The sequence below is a fragment of the Homo sapiens genome, chromosome 6 (genome assembly GCF_000001405.40).
Source record: "Homo sapiens chromosome 6, GRCh38.p14 Primary Assembly".
Lineage (NCBI taxonomy): Eukaryota > Metazoa > Chordata > Mammalia > Primates > Hominidae > Homo > Homo sapiens.
In genome coordinates, this window is record NC_000006.12 from 57,081,452 (window position 1) to 57,099,848 (window position 18,397).

At 40.1% G+C, this 18,397-nt stretch overlaps 1 protein-coding gene across 8 annotated transcripts in view, besides 4 other annotated features; it reads left to right on the forward strand.

The window, feature by feature from the left end:
• Window positions 8,406–8,555: an enhancer, noted in NCBI's record as "active region_24709". NCBI's record gives its function as "activates an Ori minimal core promoter by ATAC-STARR-seq in GM12878 lymphoblastoid cells {active_cell/tissue: GM12878}" and the evidence as "EXISTENCE:reporter gene assay evidence [ECO:0000049][PMID:35858748]".
• Window positions 8,406–9,305: a biological region, named in NCBI's record as "H3K27ac hESC enhancer GRCh37_chr6:56954672-56955554".
• Window positions 8,423–9,305: an enhancer, noted in NCBI's record as "H3K27ac hESC enhancer chr6:56954672-56955554 (GRCh37/hg19 assembly coordinates)". NCBI's record gives its function as "activates a minimal SCP1, AML or CMV promoter by ChIP-STARR-seq in naive H9 embryonic stem cells {active_cell/tissue: H9 hESC(naive)}" and the evidence as "EXISTENCE:reporter gene assay evidence [ECO:0000049][PMID:30033119]".
• Window positions 8,726–8,795: a silencer, noted in NCBI's record as "silent region_17301". NCBI's record gives its function as "represses an Ori minimal core promoter by ATAC-STARR-seq in GM12878 lymphoblastoid cells {active_cell/tissue: GM12878}" and the evidence as "EXISTENCE:reporter gene assay evidence [ECO:0000049][PMID:35858748]".
• Window positions 8,737–18,397, forward strand: part of ZNF451 (zinc finger protein 451) — an 80,118-nt gene continuing 70,457 nt past the window's right edge. For 5 of the 8 annotated variants that reach the window (XR_007059234.1, NM_001031623.3, NM_015555.3 and 2 more), the window contains exons 1-3: window positions 8,737–8,823; window positions 9,360–9,443; window positions 17,610–17,690. Coding sequence is in view for 7 of the 8 variants with exons in the window: in NM_001031623.3 (NP_001026794.1) it covers window positions 8,803–8,823; window positions 9,360–9,443; window positions 17,610–17,690 (186 nt within the window). In the remaining variant the exon portion in view is untranslated. The remainder of the gene's footprint in view (window positions 8,824–9,359; window positions 9,444–17,609; window positions 17,691–18,397) is intronic. The other 3 variants (XM_011514460.3, XM_047418624.1, XM_011514463.3) reach the window with 1 other exon arrangement.

Sequence of the window (18,397 nt, forward strand, 5' to 3'; positions counted from 1 at the left end):
CTCTATGGTTTCTGAGAAGCCAACTATTAATCTTATTGGGGTTCCCTTATAAAATAATGTCATTTTTATGTTGCTGCTTTCATGATTTTGTCCTTGTCTTCAACTTTTAGCATTTTTTCTCTGATGTATCTGTTGTGGCTCTTTTCATATTTAACCTACTTGGAATTCATTGAGCTTCATATATATGTAGATTTTTGCTTTTCAATAAACTTGAGAAGTTTTCAGCCATTATTTCTTTGAATATTTTCTCTGCTCCTTTTTCTCCTTTGGTACTCCCATTATGTCTGCATCAGTGTAAATGATGGTGTCCCACATTTCTCTGGGCTTTCCATTTTTCTTCTTTTTTCTCTTTGTTCTTTGGCTTACATAGTCTCTATGAATCTACAAGTTTGCTTATTCTTTCTTCTGACAATTCAAATCTACCATTAAGCCTCTGAGTTTTTAAAAATTATATTTATTATAACTTCTAAGTCCAAAATTTCCATTTGATTCTTTTCTATAATTTCTTTTTCTTTATTGATATTCTCTAGTTGATGCAACATTGTCGTACCTTTCTTTACTTCTCAATCATGTTTTCCTTTAGTTCTGTGAATCTGTGGATAATGGCTAATTTGAAGTCTCTTTTTTTTTTGTTATAAATCTGTTCTCACAGGCAGTTTCTGTTGTCTGCTTTTTTTCCTAGTGTATGGGTCATGCTGTTTCTTTGCATGCCTTGTAATTTTTTGTTGCAATCTGGACATAATAGGTAATATATTGTAGCAACTTTGTGTATAGGTACTCCCCTCCCTCCAGGACTTATTGTTATCTGCTCATTTATTTGTTTAGTGACTGGCTGGGTTATTTTAATGAAATGTATTCCTGCATCCTCCCTCCAGCGTAAAGCCTCTGTGTTGCTCCTCGGGGAGATGCAGCATCCTATAGTCACCATGGGGTAACACTGGTTTTGGTAAGGTTCTCTTCCTCTTCTTCCTTGACCACTCCCAGGAATTAAACTTCACTAATTCTTGCTGATTGCTCTATTGTTTTCAACAGTTATCTGGTTTATAAATAGCTCTACACTGTAATTCAATCAAATTCTGGCTCTTTTGAAGGAATAGTTTCTGACGTTAGTGTTTGATATTTGTTCTAATCCCCAGAGGGCTCCTCTAAGCTGTTTTATTCCATGGTTTTCCTGGAAACTAGGCAGCCTTCAGTTTGTCCTGCATTCCAAATCCCAGTTGGACTGTCCTCCCAGTTGACTTCTGTCACAATCTCCAATGTTCTTGAGAGCACCCTTAAGGTTGAATGTCTCCACTATCTGTTGGAGATGAAGTCAGCTCCTTTGTGAAAGGATTAAGAGTTTCCTGTTTTACAGCTTGCTTCTCACATCAGGCAAAATCTCTAAGCCAAAGCTCTGGAGTTGCAAGTGGGAAAAATGGCAAACTTCTCTTTTAGTGAGCTGTAGAAGCTAAGTGCTTGATAGAGGATTGAGAGCAGCAGACTGAGGTCCTCTTGTCTTGCCTCTCCTGGTAAGGCATGGAACCATCACCTTTCCAGATTGAGCAAGGGTGCTAAGGGGCCCAGTATTCTCAATGTGATGAGTTCAAGGTAGAGCCTCTGTCCCAATGGAAGAGGAGAGCCCCTGCCTCTCAACTGCACTAGCCCAGTGCTTAGCTTCAACAATAGGTAGCTGAGGACAGGATGAGAAACAGTGATGTCTTGCTCTTTACAGGAAGGGGGCCCTCCAAGTGGAAGTTGAGGAAGGGGGATAAGTTGGAGAGGGAGCCTGTGTTCTTGATTATAGCAGTCTGGAGTGAAGTCTGTCTTGCTGAGCTGGGAAGGGGGTGGGAGCAAGTGGTCTTGGTTTATATACCACAGATGCTTTCCTTTCTTACAGAATTTTCAGATTTCCTTTGATATATGTTTCTTCATTTGCTGTTGGCCCTTAGGACTGTCTCCATAGGCTTTAAGTGATTTTTAAAAATATTTTTTATCAGTTTCATATGAGAGCAGGCCAGTGGAGCTCCTCATACTGTCAAGCCAGAAGTACTATTCTTTCTTTTTGGAGACACAGTCATGCTCTGTTGCCCAGGCTGGAGTGCAGTGGCACGATCTCGGCTCACTGCAACCTCCACCTCCCGGGTTCAAGCATTTCTCCTGTCTCAGCCTCCCGAGTAGCTGGGATTACAGGCGTGAGCCACCATGCCCAGCCAGAAGTACTATTATTTCTTATAACTACATATGAATCTAAAATTATCACAAAAGGAAACTTCTTTTAAGAAAAAGAAAAGAATCAGAACATAAATATACAGCATGGCAAAACTACATCTAAAACAAGTATTATAGGTCTCATGGTGGAAAAATTGGACCCACAAGAAAAGTTGTTAATTATCTCTGATATTCTGAACCATTGATATCTGCAAAATGATTACTAGGTATGTGCAATGAAGGCTATTGATGTTACCCTGTATATCTGCACACTGTGTACAAATGCTGTTAAATGATGTAATAAAAAATTAAAAAGGAAATTAATGAATTCATATTTAATAAATTTTAAAAATGGAGAAGGTAAGACTTTCTTACAGAAAAATGCCAGTTGAAATCATTGAGAAAACTAGTATCGGACAATTACCACTTGCAGCCATCATAGTAAAAACTGATAACAGGCAAAAATCATCACATGATATATTGAAGGGAAAAGTTTCATGAGGAACATGATGTTTGCATGGCCTGAAAGTATATCCTCACAGATTGCTTACTAGTTGTAAGGGGAAAAATAGCAACTACATAGTGGTCATACTAGATGACACCTTGACCAGTTGGCTATAATTAATATCCTCAATGAGGGGCAGAGAGCCATCATGTGTCTCTACATGTAATAATCAAAAACACTTATAATGTCACTGATAGTATTTTGTCTGGTCTAACCTGCGTCTAATCATGAAGAAACATCTGACAAACCAAAATTAAGGAACATATTATAAAATAAGTGGCCTCGGTTCTTCAAAAACATCAATATCATAAAGACAATGGCTGAAAAACAATTCTAAATTAAAGAATAAAGGGACATAACATCTGAATGCATTATGTGATCCTAGACTGGATATTGAATTTGGACAATTGACAAAATGTGATAAGGACTGTAGATTTTTAAAAAAGTATTTTATCGTGGCCGGGCGCGGTGGCTCACGCCTGTAATCCCAGCACTTTGGGAGTCCGAGGCGGGCGGATCATGAGGTCAGGAGTTTGAGACCAGCCTGGCCAAAATAGTGAAACCCCATCTCTGCTAAAAATACAAAAAATTAGGTGGGCGTGGTGGCGGACGCCGGTAATCCCAGCTACTCGGGGCTGAGGCAGGAGAACCGCTTGAACCTGGGAGGCAGAGGTTGCAGTGAGCCAAGATCATGCCATTGCACTCTAGCCTGGGCAACAGTGCGAGACTCCGTCTCAAAAAAAAAAAAAAGTATTTTATCAACATTAACTTCCAGATTTTGATAATGGTACTATTAATGTCAAAGAAAATTCTGGTTCTTAGGAAATATATACTGAAATATTAAGGGATAAGGAGGCATGATACATGCAACCTACTTGCCAATGATTCAGAAAAAATAATATGTAAACATATGTCTCAGACAGAGAATATGGTAAAACAAATATTATTCTTTCAATTTTTCTATAGGTGTGAAATCATACCGAGATGTCTTGCTTCTGCTTAGGATTTTTCACTCTCCTTTAGCTTGTAGGAAGTAACAAATGTTAGTTATACCTGTCTTAAATTCCTCCTCAGTTGCTCTTAAATAAATCAATTTTGACAATGATTTTAACATGTAGATTATTGTAAAAGAGGTTAGACGATATAACCTTCTAATAAGATTGTTACAATTATACCTACCTACCGCACTACAGACCAATTCCTTTAATGAATACAATCTGGTTCTAATATTTTTGGTTGTCTGTGGTGTTTTCAAACCCCTTTTTAATCACCACAAGTGATTGAACCATCAGTAGTTTTGTTCAGTGGCCTGACATGGAATAATACTATTAATATGATCCAAATACACTGAACTGAACGGTGATTCTCCAAATCTTTCTAGAAAGAAAATAGGATGTGTAGGAAATTACTCACAATGTTTAGTAATAACACCAAAAACTACTGTCATCAGTGTACTCATAAGGCAAATGCATTTTGCTTGAAAGGGAGAATGTCCATATTCTAAATAAATTATGATAGCTTCCTCTAAATGAGTCAAGCAGCTTGTGCTTATGAGCCAGTGACAGAAATGAGCCACCGTCTTTTGTCCTGTGCTGCAACAGGCTGCTTTTTCTTATGGGCTAGTCCTTTATACTTTTTCAGAATCAAATGCTCTTTATTTTGCTCCCATAACTCCAGGCAATGACTATGACACCAGGTTGCTAAGAGCCATTTTCTTCCCTGAAGAATATTCTATTTTAAAATGCCTACAAATCTATTTCCTACTTCATCAGAAATTGTTAATGAGAATATTCCAGTTCCACATCTTTTTTTTTTGAGAGGGAGTCTCGCTCTGTCGCTCAGGCTGGAGTGCAGCGGCACGATCTCGGCTCACTGCAAGCTTCGCCTCCCAGGTTCATGCCATTCTCCCGCCTCAGCCTCTCTCTACAGGCCTCAGCCTCACTACAGGCCTCAGCCTCTCAGTACAGGCACCTGCCATCACGCCCGGCTAATTCCTTGTTTTTGTATTTTTAGTAGAGACGGGGTTTCACCGTGTTAGCCAGGATGGTCTCAATCTCCTGACCTTGTGATCTGCCCACGGTGGCCTCCCTAAGTGCTGGGATTACAGGCATGAACCACTGCACCCGGCCCAGTTCCACATCTTAAAACCAGAGCATTTAATCCAAACTAAATATAGTTCTTAATAATAGAATTGCATTGGAAGTATCTGTGCTTTACTAAACCTTAATAAAATTTTGTGCTGTGTATACATGAACTCTTCTGTCCATGTTGAATGTTCCTTAAATAAATTAGAGGCTCACGGTAGTCAGGATGAAAATATCAACACTGATACTTTCCCTTTTTTGAAATTTATGAGTATCAGATAATGTTTCTAAACAGGGCTTCCAAACTGATGCATTTAATTTGCCTCTTGGTGGCACACCCTTGGCCAAGAACACAGTCTCTAGAGTCTTAAATGCTGTTAGCAGCCAATGTTCAGATAGATGGTTCTATAAATTACCATTCAATACAAGCAGTAAGACAGTCGATGGAGATCTGATGAAAAATTTTAGTTTTGAAAACAAAACTAGACTTCTTTGATACATAATGATAATGAGTTGAAGGAAGAATATCAACATAATGTCACTGATACAGATCTAGAAATCTATTATGATGTCATTTGGGAAAAAGTCTAAAAGTATTAAATTTAGGGGGGTTGTCAACGCAATGATGGGCCCTCTTCAAGATCTTAACTTATAAGGCAAAATAATGGATTCACAGCTCAGGTAAAACAACAGCAAAAAAATTCCTCAATCACACAAAGAACATTTCCCCATAGTTTAAATTCTCCATTTTGAACCTTGAACCAGTCAGTAAACAATGCTGCTTCTTCCAATTCTAACCAGTTCCTCACTTCCCAAGATTGGCTGAAAATCACCCAACCCAATTCCTTCTTAACTTTCTAAGACTGGGAGATTCCTAAATTTTGCCTATGGCTTTTCTTCTCTTTGGCTACACCAAGCTAAATAAACCTGTCTTTTGGGGACTACAAGCATGTCTCAAATCTCTTGGTGGGCTTCAAAGGATTTTCTTTTTTTCTTTTTTTTTGAGACAGAGTCTCGCTCTGTTGCCTAGGTTGGAGTGCAGTGGCGCAGTCTCAGCTCACTTCAACTGCCTCCCAGGTTCATGCCATTCTCCTGCCTCAGCCTCCCAAGTAGCTGGGACTACAGGCACCCGCCACCACGCCCGGCTAATTCTTTGTATTTTTAGTAGAGACGGGGTTTCACCGTGTTAGCCAGGATGGTCTCAGTCTCCTGACATGGTGATCCGCCCACCTTGGCCTCCCAGAGTGCTGCAATTACAGGCATGAGCCACCACGCCCGGCCCAGGATTTTCTTTTTATTTTCTTTTTTTGAGACAGGGTCTTGCTTTGTTACCCAGGTTGTAGTGCGGTGGTGAGATTAGGTTCACTGAAGCCTTGACCTCTTGGGCTCAAGTGATCCTCCCACTCCAGCCTCCTGAGCAGTTGGGACCACACACATGTACCACCACACCTGGCTAATTTTAAATTTTTTTGCAGAGACAGGGTCTCACTATGTTACCTAGGCTGGTCTTGAACCCCTGGGCTCAAGCATTCCTCCTGCCTCCCAAAGTGCTGGGATTATAAGTGTGAACCACCACCCCCAGCCTGGATTTTCTTGTAAACACATAGTCCAGCTGCCCAGAAAAAAAATAAATTACTATTCCTGTTTAAGTAGGTTTTCTCTTTCAGGGATGCTTTTCTTGATGGCTTGACATGTGATATGGTTTGGATTTGTGTCCTCACCCAAATTCCATGTGGAATTGTAATCCCCAATATTGGGGGAGGGGCCTGGTGGGAGGTGATTGGATCATGGGGGCGGATTTCCCCCTTGCTGTTCTCTAATAATGAGTGAGTTCTCACGAGATCTAGTTGTTAAAAAGTGTGTAGCACCTCCCTGCTTTGCTTTCTTCCTCCTCTGCCCATGTAAAGAGGTTCCTCCTTCCTCTTCACCTTCTGCCACAATTTTAAGTTTCCCAAGGCCTCCCCAGCCATGCTTCCTGTACAGCCTGTGGAACTGTGAGCCAATTAAACCTCTTTCTTTTATAAATTACGCAGTTTCAGGTAGTTCTTTATAGCAGTGCAAGAACGAATACAACATGGTTCTAATTATCCTATATATTTCTTGAATTTTTGAAAAATATGCTTTGAGAAATGTTAGGTAAACATTTTCAGTGGAGATAAAACACTGTAATGTTATCTTTATAGCATACATACCAAAATTTAAACATTACATTCCCCAATTATTAGACATTTAGATATTTTCCAGTTTTTGCTGTTATAAAAAAACCTGTGATGTATCTTCAGGAAAATCCCTGCAACTACAGTTACTGAGTTGTATGGTGTGAGAAGTTTTTGGGTCTAGCCACATACTGCTTGTTTTCCAAGAATTTTACCCATTAACTCCTGCCTCAACTGATTAAATATTAGAGGACACTTTCACCAGCCCACTAGGAAGAGCTTTTAAATACAAGTTTTGCCTACACATTAACGTTTTAAAAATATTTAATTTACACACAGCTTTTGAAGAACTCCCCATGCACGTCTGTCATTCTCAATTGGCTTCCACAAGTCTCAAACTTACTAGGTAGAAAGTAACTAAAGTCATAAAGCACTTGGTGGAAATGCAGGAAATGTCAAATATTAAACAATAATTACTACAGGCTTAGGCAATCAGATGGTAGTTTTGCATACAAACAAAAACAGGAATCTGAGATGTTAAATAATTTGTGTTTTTTTTTTTTTTTTTTTGAGACAGTGTCTTGCTCTGTCACCCAGGCTGCAGTGCAGTGGCATGAATTTGGCTCCCTGCAGCCTGGATCTCAATCTCTCGGCCTCAAGCGATTCTCCTACCTAAACCTCCTGAGTAGCTGGGACTACAGGCAAGGACCACTACGCCTAGCTAATTTTTGTATTTTTTGTAGAGACGAGGTTCCCTCTTATTGCTCAGGCTGGTCTCGAATTCCTGGGTTTAAGTGAACCGCCCGCCTCGGCCTCCCAGAGTGTGAGGACCCGCCTGGCCTAAAATAATGTTATCACTTAATTCTTTTCATAAACTTTATTGACAACGATTGGTGTGTTTTTTTAAAAAACCTTTTTAAATTTTTGGTAAGGTATTACCTGAGAACAGATTAAATGCATAGTTGAATATAAAAGATCTATTTTATAGACTGGTTTATGAGTGTGAACACACAAAAGGTTAAAAGGTCAACCTTACAGCAGTCTATAAATAGATCTCTCATATTCTCTCAGTATATCTGAGAATATTGAAAAAGTGCATTTCAAAATCACTGGCTAGGGTTTAGTGATAGTTAGGTAGACCTCGGTTCCCTTTCCTATTGGGCCCTGGATTTCCCATCCCTATTTTCTTCCTCAGGTGTATTAATACTGGCAGGGCCTGGGAGACTGACGCTAGGGAAGAGGTGTGTAATGTAAGGATACTTCAGATTCTTTCCTGATCCTAGGATTCAGCTAAACCTCCACATAGCCCCTGTCCTCAAAAATGAGTAAATACATAAATTTAAAAATGAAAGGAAAAAAAGAGAAATCCGTTCCCACCACCCACCTTCAGGGCTAAAACAGAAAAATCAATGAGCTGCGCTTCACAACCATACCAAAACCAAACAAATACCAACTCAAACCCTCCTTCACATCCTCCCACATCTTCCCAGTGCTTCGCTATCTCACAGGACCCAGCTGGCCCCTGGCTTCGCCCCACCCACTGCAGCTGGCGTCTTTTAGGCGCATGGTTCTTTTCCTCTCCGGCGAGGGGCGGTCTCGGGGCGGACCCGAACTACAATTCCCAGCATCCTGCGCGGCGCGGGGAAGGAAGCCCGGGAGTGAGAGAAAGCGGCTCCGGGGGCATAGCGGGCCAGTAAGGGCCGCTCCTCCTTTGAAGAGGTTTTGCGTCTCTTTCCGCCGGTGGCGTCGGCGCTCACGCAGGGGCGGGTCCCGGTAGCGCCAGGCGGTGCAGGGCGGGAAGGGGATTCGTGGCGACGGCGGCGGCAGGGACAGCAGGAGCAGTGGTGCTGTCAGCGCGGCCGTCGGAGACATGGGAGACCCGGGGTCGGAGGTGAGTAGTCGAGTGAGGGTCCTGGCGTTCTCAGAGGCGAACCGCGAAGGGTTTGTGTTTTCTGCGGTCTGAGGCCTGGTGCTCCGTCGCAGCCTCGGGGCGATACCTCTTCAGTGTCTTGGGCCGAGCCCAGCTCTGGGGCCTGGTGCGTGTCTGAGCGAGGAACCCGCAGCAACAATGGCCGCCCGGCCCCCCGCACGGGCCCTGGCGTTCGTTGTGGCCGCGGCTGGGCCAGTGGGAGCGACGTTTTAAGGCAGGATTGCCCTTCGGTGTTGAGCTTGCGTTCCTCCTGGAGTAGATAAGGGGAATTGTGAGAGGCTGGTAACTAACGCGTTTTCAGCGTTGGGTCCCTGCAGCTCCGCACACTCTGTGGCAAGAGCCAGAGCTCGAGTTCCGTTCCTAGTCGGGTTTCCGTGAAATTGTGCTCAGTTCGTTTTCCTCAAGAGCTCTCTGTCTTTAATTGTTCCTTTCGGAAACGCTCTCTTCCTACACGAATGTGGCTGAACAGATAAGCATGTTTTGGCTTGTTTTTATAGATAATAGAATCTGTCCCTCCAGCTGGCCCTGAGGCATCTGAGTCAACAACGGATGAAAATGAAGACGACATTCAGTTTGTCAGTGTAAGTAGCAATGATGATTGGGGTTTTCCCAGAGTAAAAGACTATGGTGGGCCATTATGTAATGTTACCTCACCTGGTCATTTAATGTTCATGAGTGTCTAATACATACTAGACACTGGAGCATGGCGCAGGATTGGGAAATTTACCAAAAGAGCTATCTGAGCCACCCCCGTAGCCATCACAAAGAGCACGTCCTAAAGAACGTGCTGTACACTTAATCTCGCCCCCTGCCTTTCATTTAAACTTAAGATAAAAACGCTGGTGTCTAAAACGCTGTTTTGAAATGGAGCAAGAGTAACTTCTAAAGGCGACACGGAGGAAGGAGCTGCTAATGATGAGCAAGGACGTAGAAAACAGGAAGGGTTGTGAGAGCCCAGAATCTTAGCGTTATGGTGCTTCTAACATGAAGGCAAATAGCTTGAAGATTTCTCTAACCTCTGAGATCATCATGTTACGGCATAGTACAGTTGATGCTCATAATGAAGAATCCTACATCACTGGGAACATGCTCTATTTTTCTGAGTTTGTTCCCTTTGAGACAGTAGTTTTCAAGCCTTAGTAAGTATAAACAGGCAGATTCCTGGGCCCCACTGCAGACCTACCGAATCAGAATTTCCAGGCGGGGGCCTAGGAATCTTCATTTTCAGACAAGTGCAGGGACATAAGGATTTCTGAGCACACTTTGTACAGCATGGGTTTCCAAAGCAGAAGAGAGTGTTTTATGATGTATTTTGGGGTGATTTTCTTCCATAATTATTGGAGTTTTAGAAAGGCTTTGCGTAAAGTGGTATCTCAGCTCGCCAGGCAGAAAACGGTTCTGTCCCCAACTCGTCTTTTGGAATGCCGTAGTTAGTTGCAGTTTGGTATTCAAGCTGTAGAATTTTTCGTTGAGTGTCAGATGTGCATTTATGGTGGATGCTGGGAAACCTTGTAAAATTGGTTATTAAACAGTTTCTTTCCCAGCATTAGGGCCATTTTGGTAATTCATTTTTGTATGGTATTTTAATAGATTTGTTTAGGAGTCCTTCACAAGATTGTTTTATTGAATTTCTTTCCCTTTACCAGTGTATGTTGTACTCTCTCCTTTTCATTTTGATCTTCTACGGATTTGGAGTAGAGGATGGGGGTGAATTGTATCCTGTCCTTTCCTTCACCATGCGCTGAAGTATGTTTAATAACAGGTTTCCATGGCTCTTGAGGACAGATATTTCAGGTTCTTCCTGAATCTTGGTATATTTGTGAAGAGAATTTTTTTCTTATGGTGTTTAGTAGAAATAATACTAGGAATGACATACTTCTTTATGAACTATGGCCCTTTTTGAGAAACACGAGTAGCATCTCTTAATATTTGAAAAATGTTTTGTGTAATGAATTACAGTGTAGCTTGTGACTAGTTAATGTAGGCTTGAGTTCACCTTTGGTTTAAAGGAGTCTTTAAATTTTATGTTGAATGTAGAGGATCACTTCCGTCTTTGCATCAAGAGTAAAGAATGTACAATCATTGAATATCTGACATGATACAACTTCTTACTCTTGTTCCCAAATAAAGGTTCAGAGGTTTGACAGTTCCACATGGAGAAGTGAATTATATGTTGTAAGTGTAATTACAATACTAGAAGAAGCCTATTAAAAATTTTCCCTTTACATTTAAGTGGCACCACTTACATGACAATAATAGCTTAATTATATTTCAAAATATATTCAGAGACAGAATCTTTACTTTTCTCTGGAATCCAATCCTATATGTGGCTCCTCCAGTCAGTAATGCTTATTCAGTAAAGATGAAAAAGTTTGATTTTTTCAGATAAAAAATGAGTATTGTGATGTTACTTCTTCGTTTTTACGGTTTGGATTTCATAGCTCTTACTAACCTAATTTTCCCACTTTTAGTCCACTTGGTGGCCCAGGAGTTATTCTGTGATTTGTAGAATACAGAATCTGAAACTAAACACAGCATGCTGAAGGAAAGGAGTGATATAGATATGGAGGGGGGTGCAAAAATGGGCCCTCTCATTTAAATTTTATTGAAATATACATAAAAGTGCACAATTCATAAGTATACTTGTTGGATAAAGTTTTGCAAAGCCTCATACATCTATGTAAACAGCGCCTAAATCAAGAAACAGAATGCTGCCATAACAAAAACTTCTTATTTAGGTCTGTTGTTCTTATTTCTGTTTAGTAATATGATCCTTTATTCAACTACTGTTTTTATATCTTTCTTTGAAATTGCAGATTTTTTATGTGATTTACTTCTAAAAAACTAATAGCTGATGATGTGATAGTTCACAGTGCTGTTCTAGATATGAAGGTATACAAACTGCTGAGGGAACCTATCGTAATTTTGCTAACAAAACAATACAAGAGATTCAGGTTTCAGCCAAGATTATTGATATAGTGTAGCATCATTGGAAGTCAGTGAAATCAGGATATAATTTCCTAAATAGCTTCAGTACCACATAGATCAAGTATTAATACTTTAGCTGCAGAAGGGAGTCAGGCAGAAAATAGTATTATTTGGCTGGGTGTCTTGGGGCTGTGATTGGTTTAATAAATAAAAAGTGTTGAAGCTCATAATATGCAAAGCCGTGAGTTAAGTTCCTTAGAGCTACAAGGATTAATTTGAAATACATCCTACCCTTAAGGGTCAGTATTTTAGTGTGAATGATGAGATAGGAGGTGAGAAGTATGTAAATAGTCCTTAGAGGTAGTAGAAAGTTCTCTTACAGAAAGTACATAGTGCTGTTAAAAAAGGACATAAGACTTGCAGTTTATCATAGTAGTAGTTAGTAGTAGTAATAAGTAGTAGTTAGGATTTATATGTGTTTAAAAGGGCATTTTGAGTAGAAGAAACAAGGAAAGGCATCAGAATGGGAAAGCAGAGAGGATTATGTGTAGTCGTGAAAGATTTTTTGTTGTTTTTTAAGGTGGGAGGAGGCGGCATGGGCCAGGTAGTATAGATCTTGAATGTTGGATTAAATTTGAACTATAAAACAGGCACAATTGGAAACTATTTGAAATGTTGCCTGTCAGGACTGCACAAGTAACCTGTGTCCCTGACTTCTCTATATGGGGGGAAAAATGAATTATTTAGGGTTTCAGATTTATGCTCAAATCCATATTCTTTGTTTTAGAGAAAACTTTGGTTGTAGTAAACTACCTTTTTAGTAGACCATATTTTGGTGTATTGATATCTCTTTCCAATTAGTAGGAAATTGGTGTTTTGGCTTAGAGAATCAGTTTTCTCATAACAGGAATGAAAGCTTTTTATTTCATGAAACATATTTTAAAACTTAGAATATTGGTTTAACTGTTTTCCTAAACTGTTTTGCCATGCTTCTACATGTGCTTCTGCCCCTAAATTGTGTGGTATTGGGAATAGAATTCTTTAATTTTTAAATTTTATTTTTATTTAATTTTTTATTTCTATTTCAGAGACAGGGTCTCACTCTTGCCCAGGCTGGAGTGCAGTGGTATGATCATAGCTTACTGCAGTTTTAAACTTGTGGGTTCAAGCAACCCTCCCTCCCCAGCCTTCCGAGTAGCTGGGACTACAGGTGCACTCCACCATGCCCTGCTTAGAATCCTTTATTTTTTGTTAGTGGTGCAATAGGGCATGAGAATGATGGTTTACTAGTTGATGGATAGAACAAATGCAAATAAAAATACCTTGTAATTACAGGACCATACGCAGTTATAGTTGTTAAAGATATAAGTAGTAATTATAAATATTATACCAAATTATTTTTTCTTGATATTTTTATTATAAACATAACTTCTTTTGAGAAATTGGTAATTTATTTTTGGTCAGTGTTACAAAGTATTCACAGATGGGGTAATAGAGGTAGTCCATTTTCTCTTAAGGAAGAAAAAATGTGTTATTTCAGGAACTCAGGTAATAAACATTGATTTAAAAATAGTATTTATGTTTTGAACTACCTCACAATTATAGTGCCTGTACAGCCAGTTGTGTTTAGAGAACCAAGTATACCCCACTCAGTTTTCCCATCTGTTAAATGGGATAATACTGATAATTCAATATCTCACCTTGTAAAGTAATTTGGGGGATTAAGTGAAATGTACATTAAAAGCTTTGCACAAGGCATGGTACAGGGCTCAATAAATGTTATTGATTCTTAGTCAAATAAATGGAGTACTAAATGTTTTACTTCCGTAAGCTCATTATCATGGAAGTTTTTCCATATTCACTGAAAATTAGCTAGTGTACACTATTTGTGTATAAGTAATCTTTTCCTTTGGGGTACATGTCTGTCCTTATTTTTCCACTCAATCTCTTTGCCATTTTAGTGATTTTCAACATGATTCCCCTTCTCATTCTACTCTGTCACTTAAAGCTCAGTAATTATTTGTTGAATGTATAAATATTCTAAATGACTTCTGTTTTTTCTCAATTTTGGATTTTCTGTGATACTTTTTTTTTTTTTTTTTTTTTTTAAAGAGATAGGGTCTCAGTCTTGCTTAGGCTGGAGTGCAGTGGCGTAATCATAGCTCACTGCAGCCTTGAACTCCTAGGCTCAAGCAATTCTGCTGCCTCAGCCTCCCAAATAGCTGGGACTACAGGCACGCACTACTGTACCCAGCTAATTTATTTTATTTTTGTAGAGATGAGGTCTCACTGTTCTGTCCAGGATGGTGTCAAACTCCTGGACTCAAGTGATCCTCCGTCATCGGCCTCCCAAAGTGCTGGGATTATAGGCGTGATCTACCACGCTCGTCTGGATTTTCTATCCATATTTTCCTTTTTTTCTTTTCTCTTAGTGTGAATCATATAAAATTATTGTTCTTCAGTAGTTGAAAAATGTTTGCATATTGGTTTAATGGTTCACTGCAAGAATAAATTTCTGATAACCTTATTTGTCCTTACTCCTTCCCTTTAAATATTACTGCAGCTTTTTTTTTTTGTTGTTGTTGTTGTTGTTGTTGTTGAGACAAGAGTCCCTCTCTGTTGCCCAGGCTGGAGTGCACTGGCGTGATCTCAGCTCTCTGCAACTTCTGCCTCCTGGGCTAAAGCGATTCTTGTTCTTCGGCCTCCTGAGTAGCTGGGATTACAGATGTACACCACCACGCCCAGCTAATTTTTGTATTTTTAATAGAGACAGAGTTTTGCCATGTTGGCCCAGATGGTCTCGAACTCATGGCCTCATGTGGTCCACCTGCCTTGGCCTCCCAAAGTGCTGAGATTACAGGCATGAGCCATCCTGCCTGCAGCTATTTTTAAATTATGTTTTTGATCATTTTCTTTCTTCCTTTCTTTCTTTCTGTTTTTTTTTTTTTTTTTTTTTTTTTGAGATGGAGTTTCGCTCTTGTCACCCAGGCTGGAGTGCAGTGGGACAGTCTTGGCTCACTGCAACCTCTGCCTCCCGGGTTCAAGCAATTCTCCTGCCTCAGTCTCCTGAGTAGCTGGAATTAGAGGCGCCCACCACCATGCCTGGCTAATTTTTTGTATTTTTAGTGGAGACAGGGTTTTACCATGTTGGCCAGGCTGGTCTCAAATTCCTGACCTCAGGCAATTCGCCCACCTTGGTCTCCCAAAGTGCTGGGATTACAGGCATGAGCCACCGTGCCCAGCCTGTTTATCTTATTTTTTTCCAGCCCATTTTACTTTTTACCTTGCATCCTGTCATCTTTCATCTTCTTCTTTACTTTCTGTGCATGGGAACTCTGCCTCTGTGTATTTCTGGTTACCGGGGCGGGGGGGTAGGGGGGCGCTTTTGTGTTCTGCTATTTCTGTGGACCTATAATGAAGGTTCCTAATGCATATTTCTTGTAGAGAGCAAAGTAAGATGATTATATCAATGGGAAAAGCTATCATTTTAATTTTTCTTCTTGGATCGAACATACAATTTTCAGTCTTTTTTTTTTTTTTTTTTTTTTTTTTGTGACAGAGTCTTGCTCTGTTGCCCAGGCTGGAGTGCAGTGGCACCATCTCAGCTCACTGCAGCCTCTGCCTCCTGGGTTCAAGCAATTCATCTGCCTCAGCCTCCTGGGTAGCTGGGACTACAGGTGCCCGCCACTACACCCTATTCCTATTTTTAGTGGAGACAGGGTTTCACCATGTTGGCCAGGCTGGTCTTGAACTCCTGACCTCAAGTCATCTACCCACCTCTGCCTCCCAAGGTGCTGGAATTACAGGTGTGAGCCACCGTGCATGGCCTACATTCTTCATACCAGATGTAGATTTTAAAGTAGGTGATTCAGCTCTGTTTACCATATATTGGAGAGTATTGCTTCCTCTGTTTCTTTAATTTTTACTTCCGTGTTTATAGTTTGAGCAAAAATCTCAATTCCTTTGCTACAGATCCCTGCCCAGTTTTGCCCTCTTGTTTTATCTTGGTATCTGAATTAGTACCCAAAAGATGGCAGTTTCTTGGTTGAGCAGAAGTCATAGCCTAGGGGAGAAAGAAGCTATCTTTGAGACTGGATGCCTATTCTAGGGAAGATCATTACCTAGATCTCAGCTTCTGTCTCCAGCAGTCAACTTTCTACATCCTACAAAATCCTTTCCTCAGCTATTATTTCTTCTGTGTTCCTTTCTTTTGTTTCCAACATACTGGATTTCTCAAAAGAATATGGCCTTTTCTACTGCATTCTCTAGTGTTTTAGAGCCTGGCTTCTGTGCTCACTACTTTCTTGAAAGTTGCTCTCTCAAAGACATTTAAAAATGTCTGGTTGCCACATTCAGTGGCATTTTATTGTTGCCGTGTTTCTGGCCACATTTAACACTGACAGCTTTTTATTGAGGCAATATGATAGTTCAGTTTAGTTCTAGAGTTTAATAGTCTTCTAGGGGAGCAACTCTCAAGTCTTTATTTCCAGGTATGTTCATACTTCCCAGATTACAGGCCTGCATTTCCAGCTGTCTGCTAGATACACCCTGTGTACCACTGTTACTTCAGCCCATAGGAATGTCAGCTTTCTGTTTCTGCTTTCCAAAGTTATACTATTGGCATTACTATTCTTATAGTCACCTGAGGTTAAAAACTTAGAGATCACTGACTCCTTGTTTTGTTTTTTAAATAATCTTTTAAATTTATTTTTATTTATATATTTATTATTATTATTATTATTATTATTGGGATAGTCTTGCTCTGTTGCCCGGGCTGGAGTGCAGTGGCGTGATCTTGGCTCACTGCAACTGCTGCCTCCCAGGTTCAAGCAATTCTCCAGCCTCAGCCTCCTGAGTAGCTGGGACTACAGGCACGCACCACCATGCCTGGCTAATTTGTACATTTTTAGTAGAGATGGAGTTTTACCATGTTGGTCAGGCTGGTCTCGAACTCCAGCCTGGCCAACATGGTAAAACCCCATCTGTACTAAAAGTACACAAATTAGCCAGGCATGGTTCTAACCTCAGGTGATCCCCCACCTTGGCCTCCCAAAGTGGTGGGATTACAGACATGAGCCACCACACCTGGCCTAATAATCAATCTCTTTTAGTTTTCCATTTTACTTGTATTCTCTTGTATATCCACTACCATACTCTTCTTGCCATCACCACCATTAGTTCTGCATTGTCATGTGCCTATACTGATTATCTTGCTTTCCCTGCTCTCCATACTCCTCTATGTGATTGATCTTGAAGCACAGTTCTCATGTTATTGTCTTATTATTATTTTTTATTTTCTTTTGCCTATTGAATAAAATCTAGGCTTTTAAGCCTGACATTCAAGGCCTGGTTGATGAAGAAATTGGCATGGATGGAAAGAAAGAATGGAAAAGAATTCAGGTTTGATGCTTGACTCTGCAGTGGTGGATGATGAAGCTGAGCTATAAGTCAATTCATTTTTGAACTTGGATATATTAACAGACTTTTGATACCAATTCTAGGTGTAAAGCACTGGATTATAATATTTGTGTCTTTGTAGCACTGTTCTTATATTAATTTTCCTTTCCCAAGTAATTGACATGGCCCTAATATTCTACAGGGGTGTAGGTGCTTCCTTTTAGGTCTTGTCATCATTTTACATTTATATATTTTGAATATTTTCCTCTGCTGCTTTTGTTCTGGTTATTTTCTGCTACCCACAAAGCTCCCTCTTCAGAGTAATTCTTGCCAGTCCCAACCAAAAAAAACACTGTAGGTTTAAATGCTAATTTGGTTTGAATAACTGTTAATGACTTCTAAATTTGCTTGATTGTTTATAGGAAGGACCATTACGACCTGTTCTTGAATACATTGATCTGGTCAGCAGTGATGATGAAGAGCCTAGCACCTCTTATACTGATGTAAGTACATTATATTTGATTTGTGTTTCTTCACTTGTGTCTTTTAAGAGGTATTCTCTAAAGAGAGTTACCAAATCAGGGAAGGCTGTGTTTAGAAATAGCCAGTTCTATTAGAATGGGCTAAAATAGGTAGTCCAAGGAGTCCTTTGCCCAGATCTCCTACTTCCAGTTTTTTTCCTCTACTTTGAATGAGATTATGAAAAAAATGATAATATGACTCTGGGAAATTCAGAGCCTTAGAGGTGATATCTGATAAAATGGAAATGGAATAAAAACTGCAAGCTTATTGATTCCTCTTTCCCTTCTCTTTTCCTTTACTCTCCTCAGGTGCCCTATACAACAGGATTCTTTTGTTCCAGAACCACATGACCACAGAAAATTTGTTTTCTCTTAGAAAAAAGGATATGTAGAGATCCTTTTAGGAATGGAAAGTGGGGGAAGGGTTTATAGGGGATATATTACTTCAGTCATCATCCCTTTAACCTTGTCTGTGCCCCACATATTTGGAGTTATTTATCTTACCTGTGATGTACTGGTTGTAGGTTTGACCCTTGGACCAATACTTCCCTTGCTCTGAGAATTGAACTAGTTGAGCCCTTTGTAACAGTCTTGCCTTTCATTTGTCCTTGCTTTAGCCCAAACTTCTGTTAATGAGCTGTTTTCATCTTGGATTAGAAAACTCTTAGTTATTGTTCAGAGTGGCCACA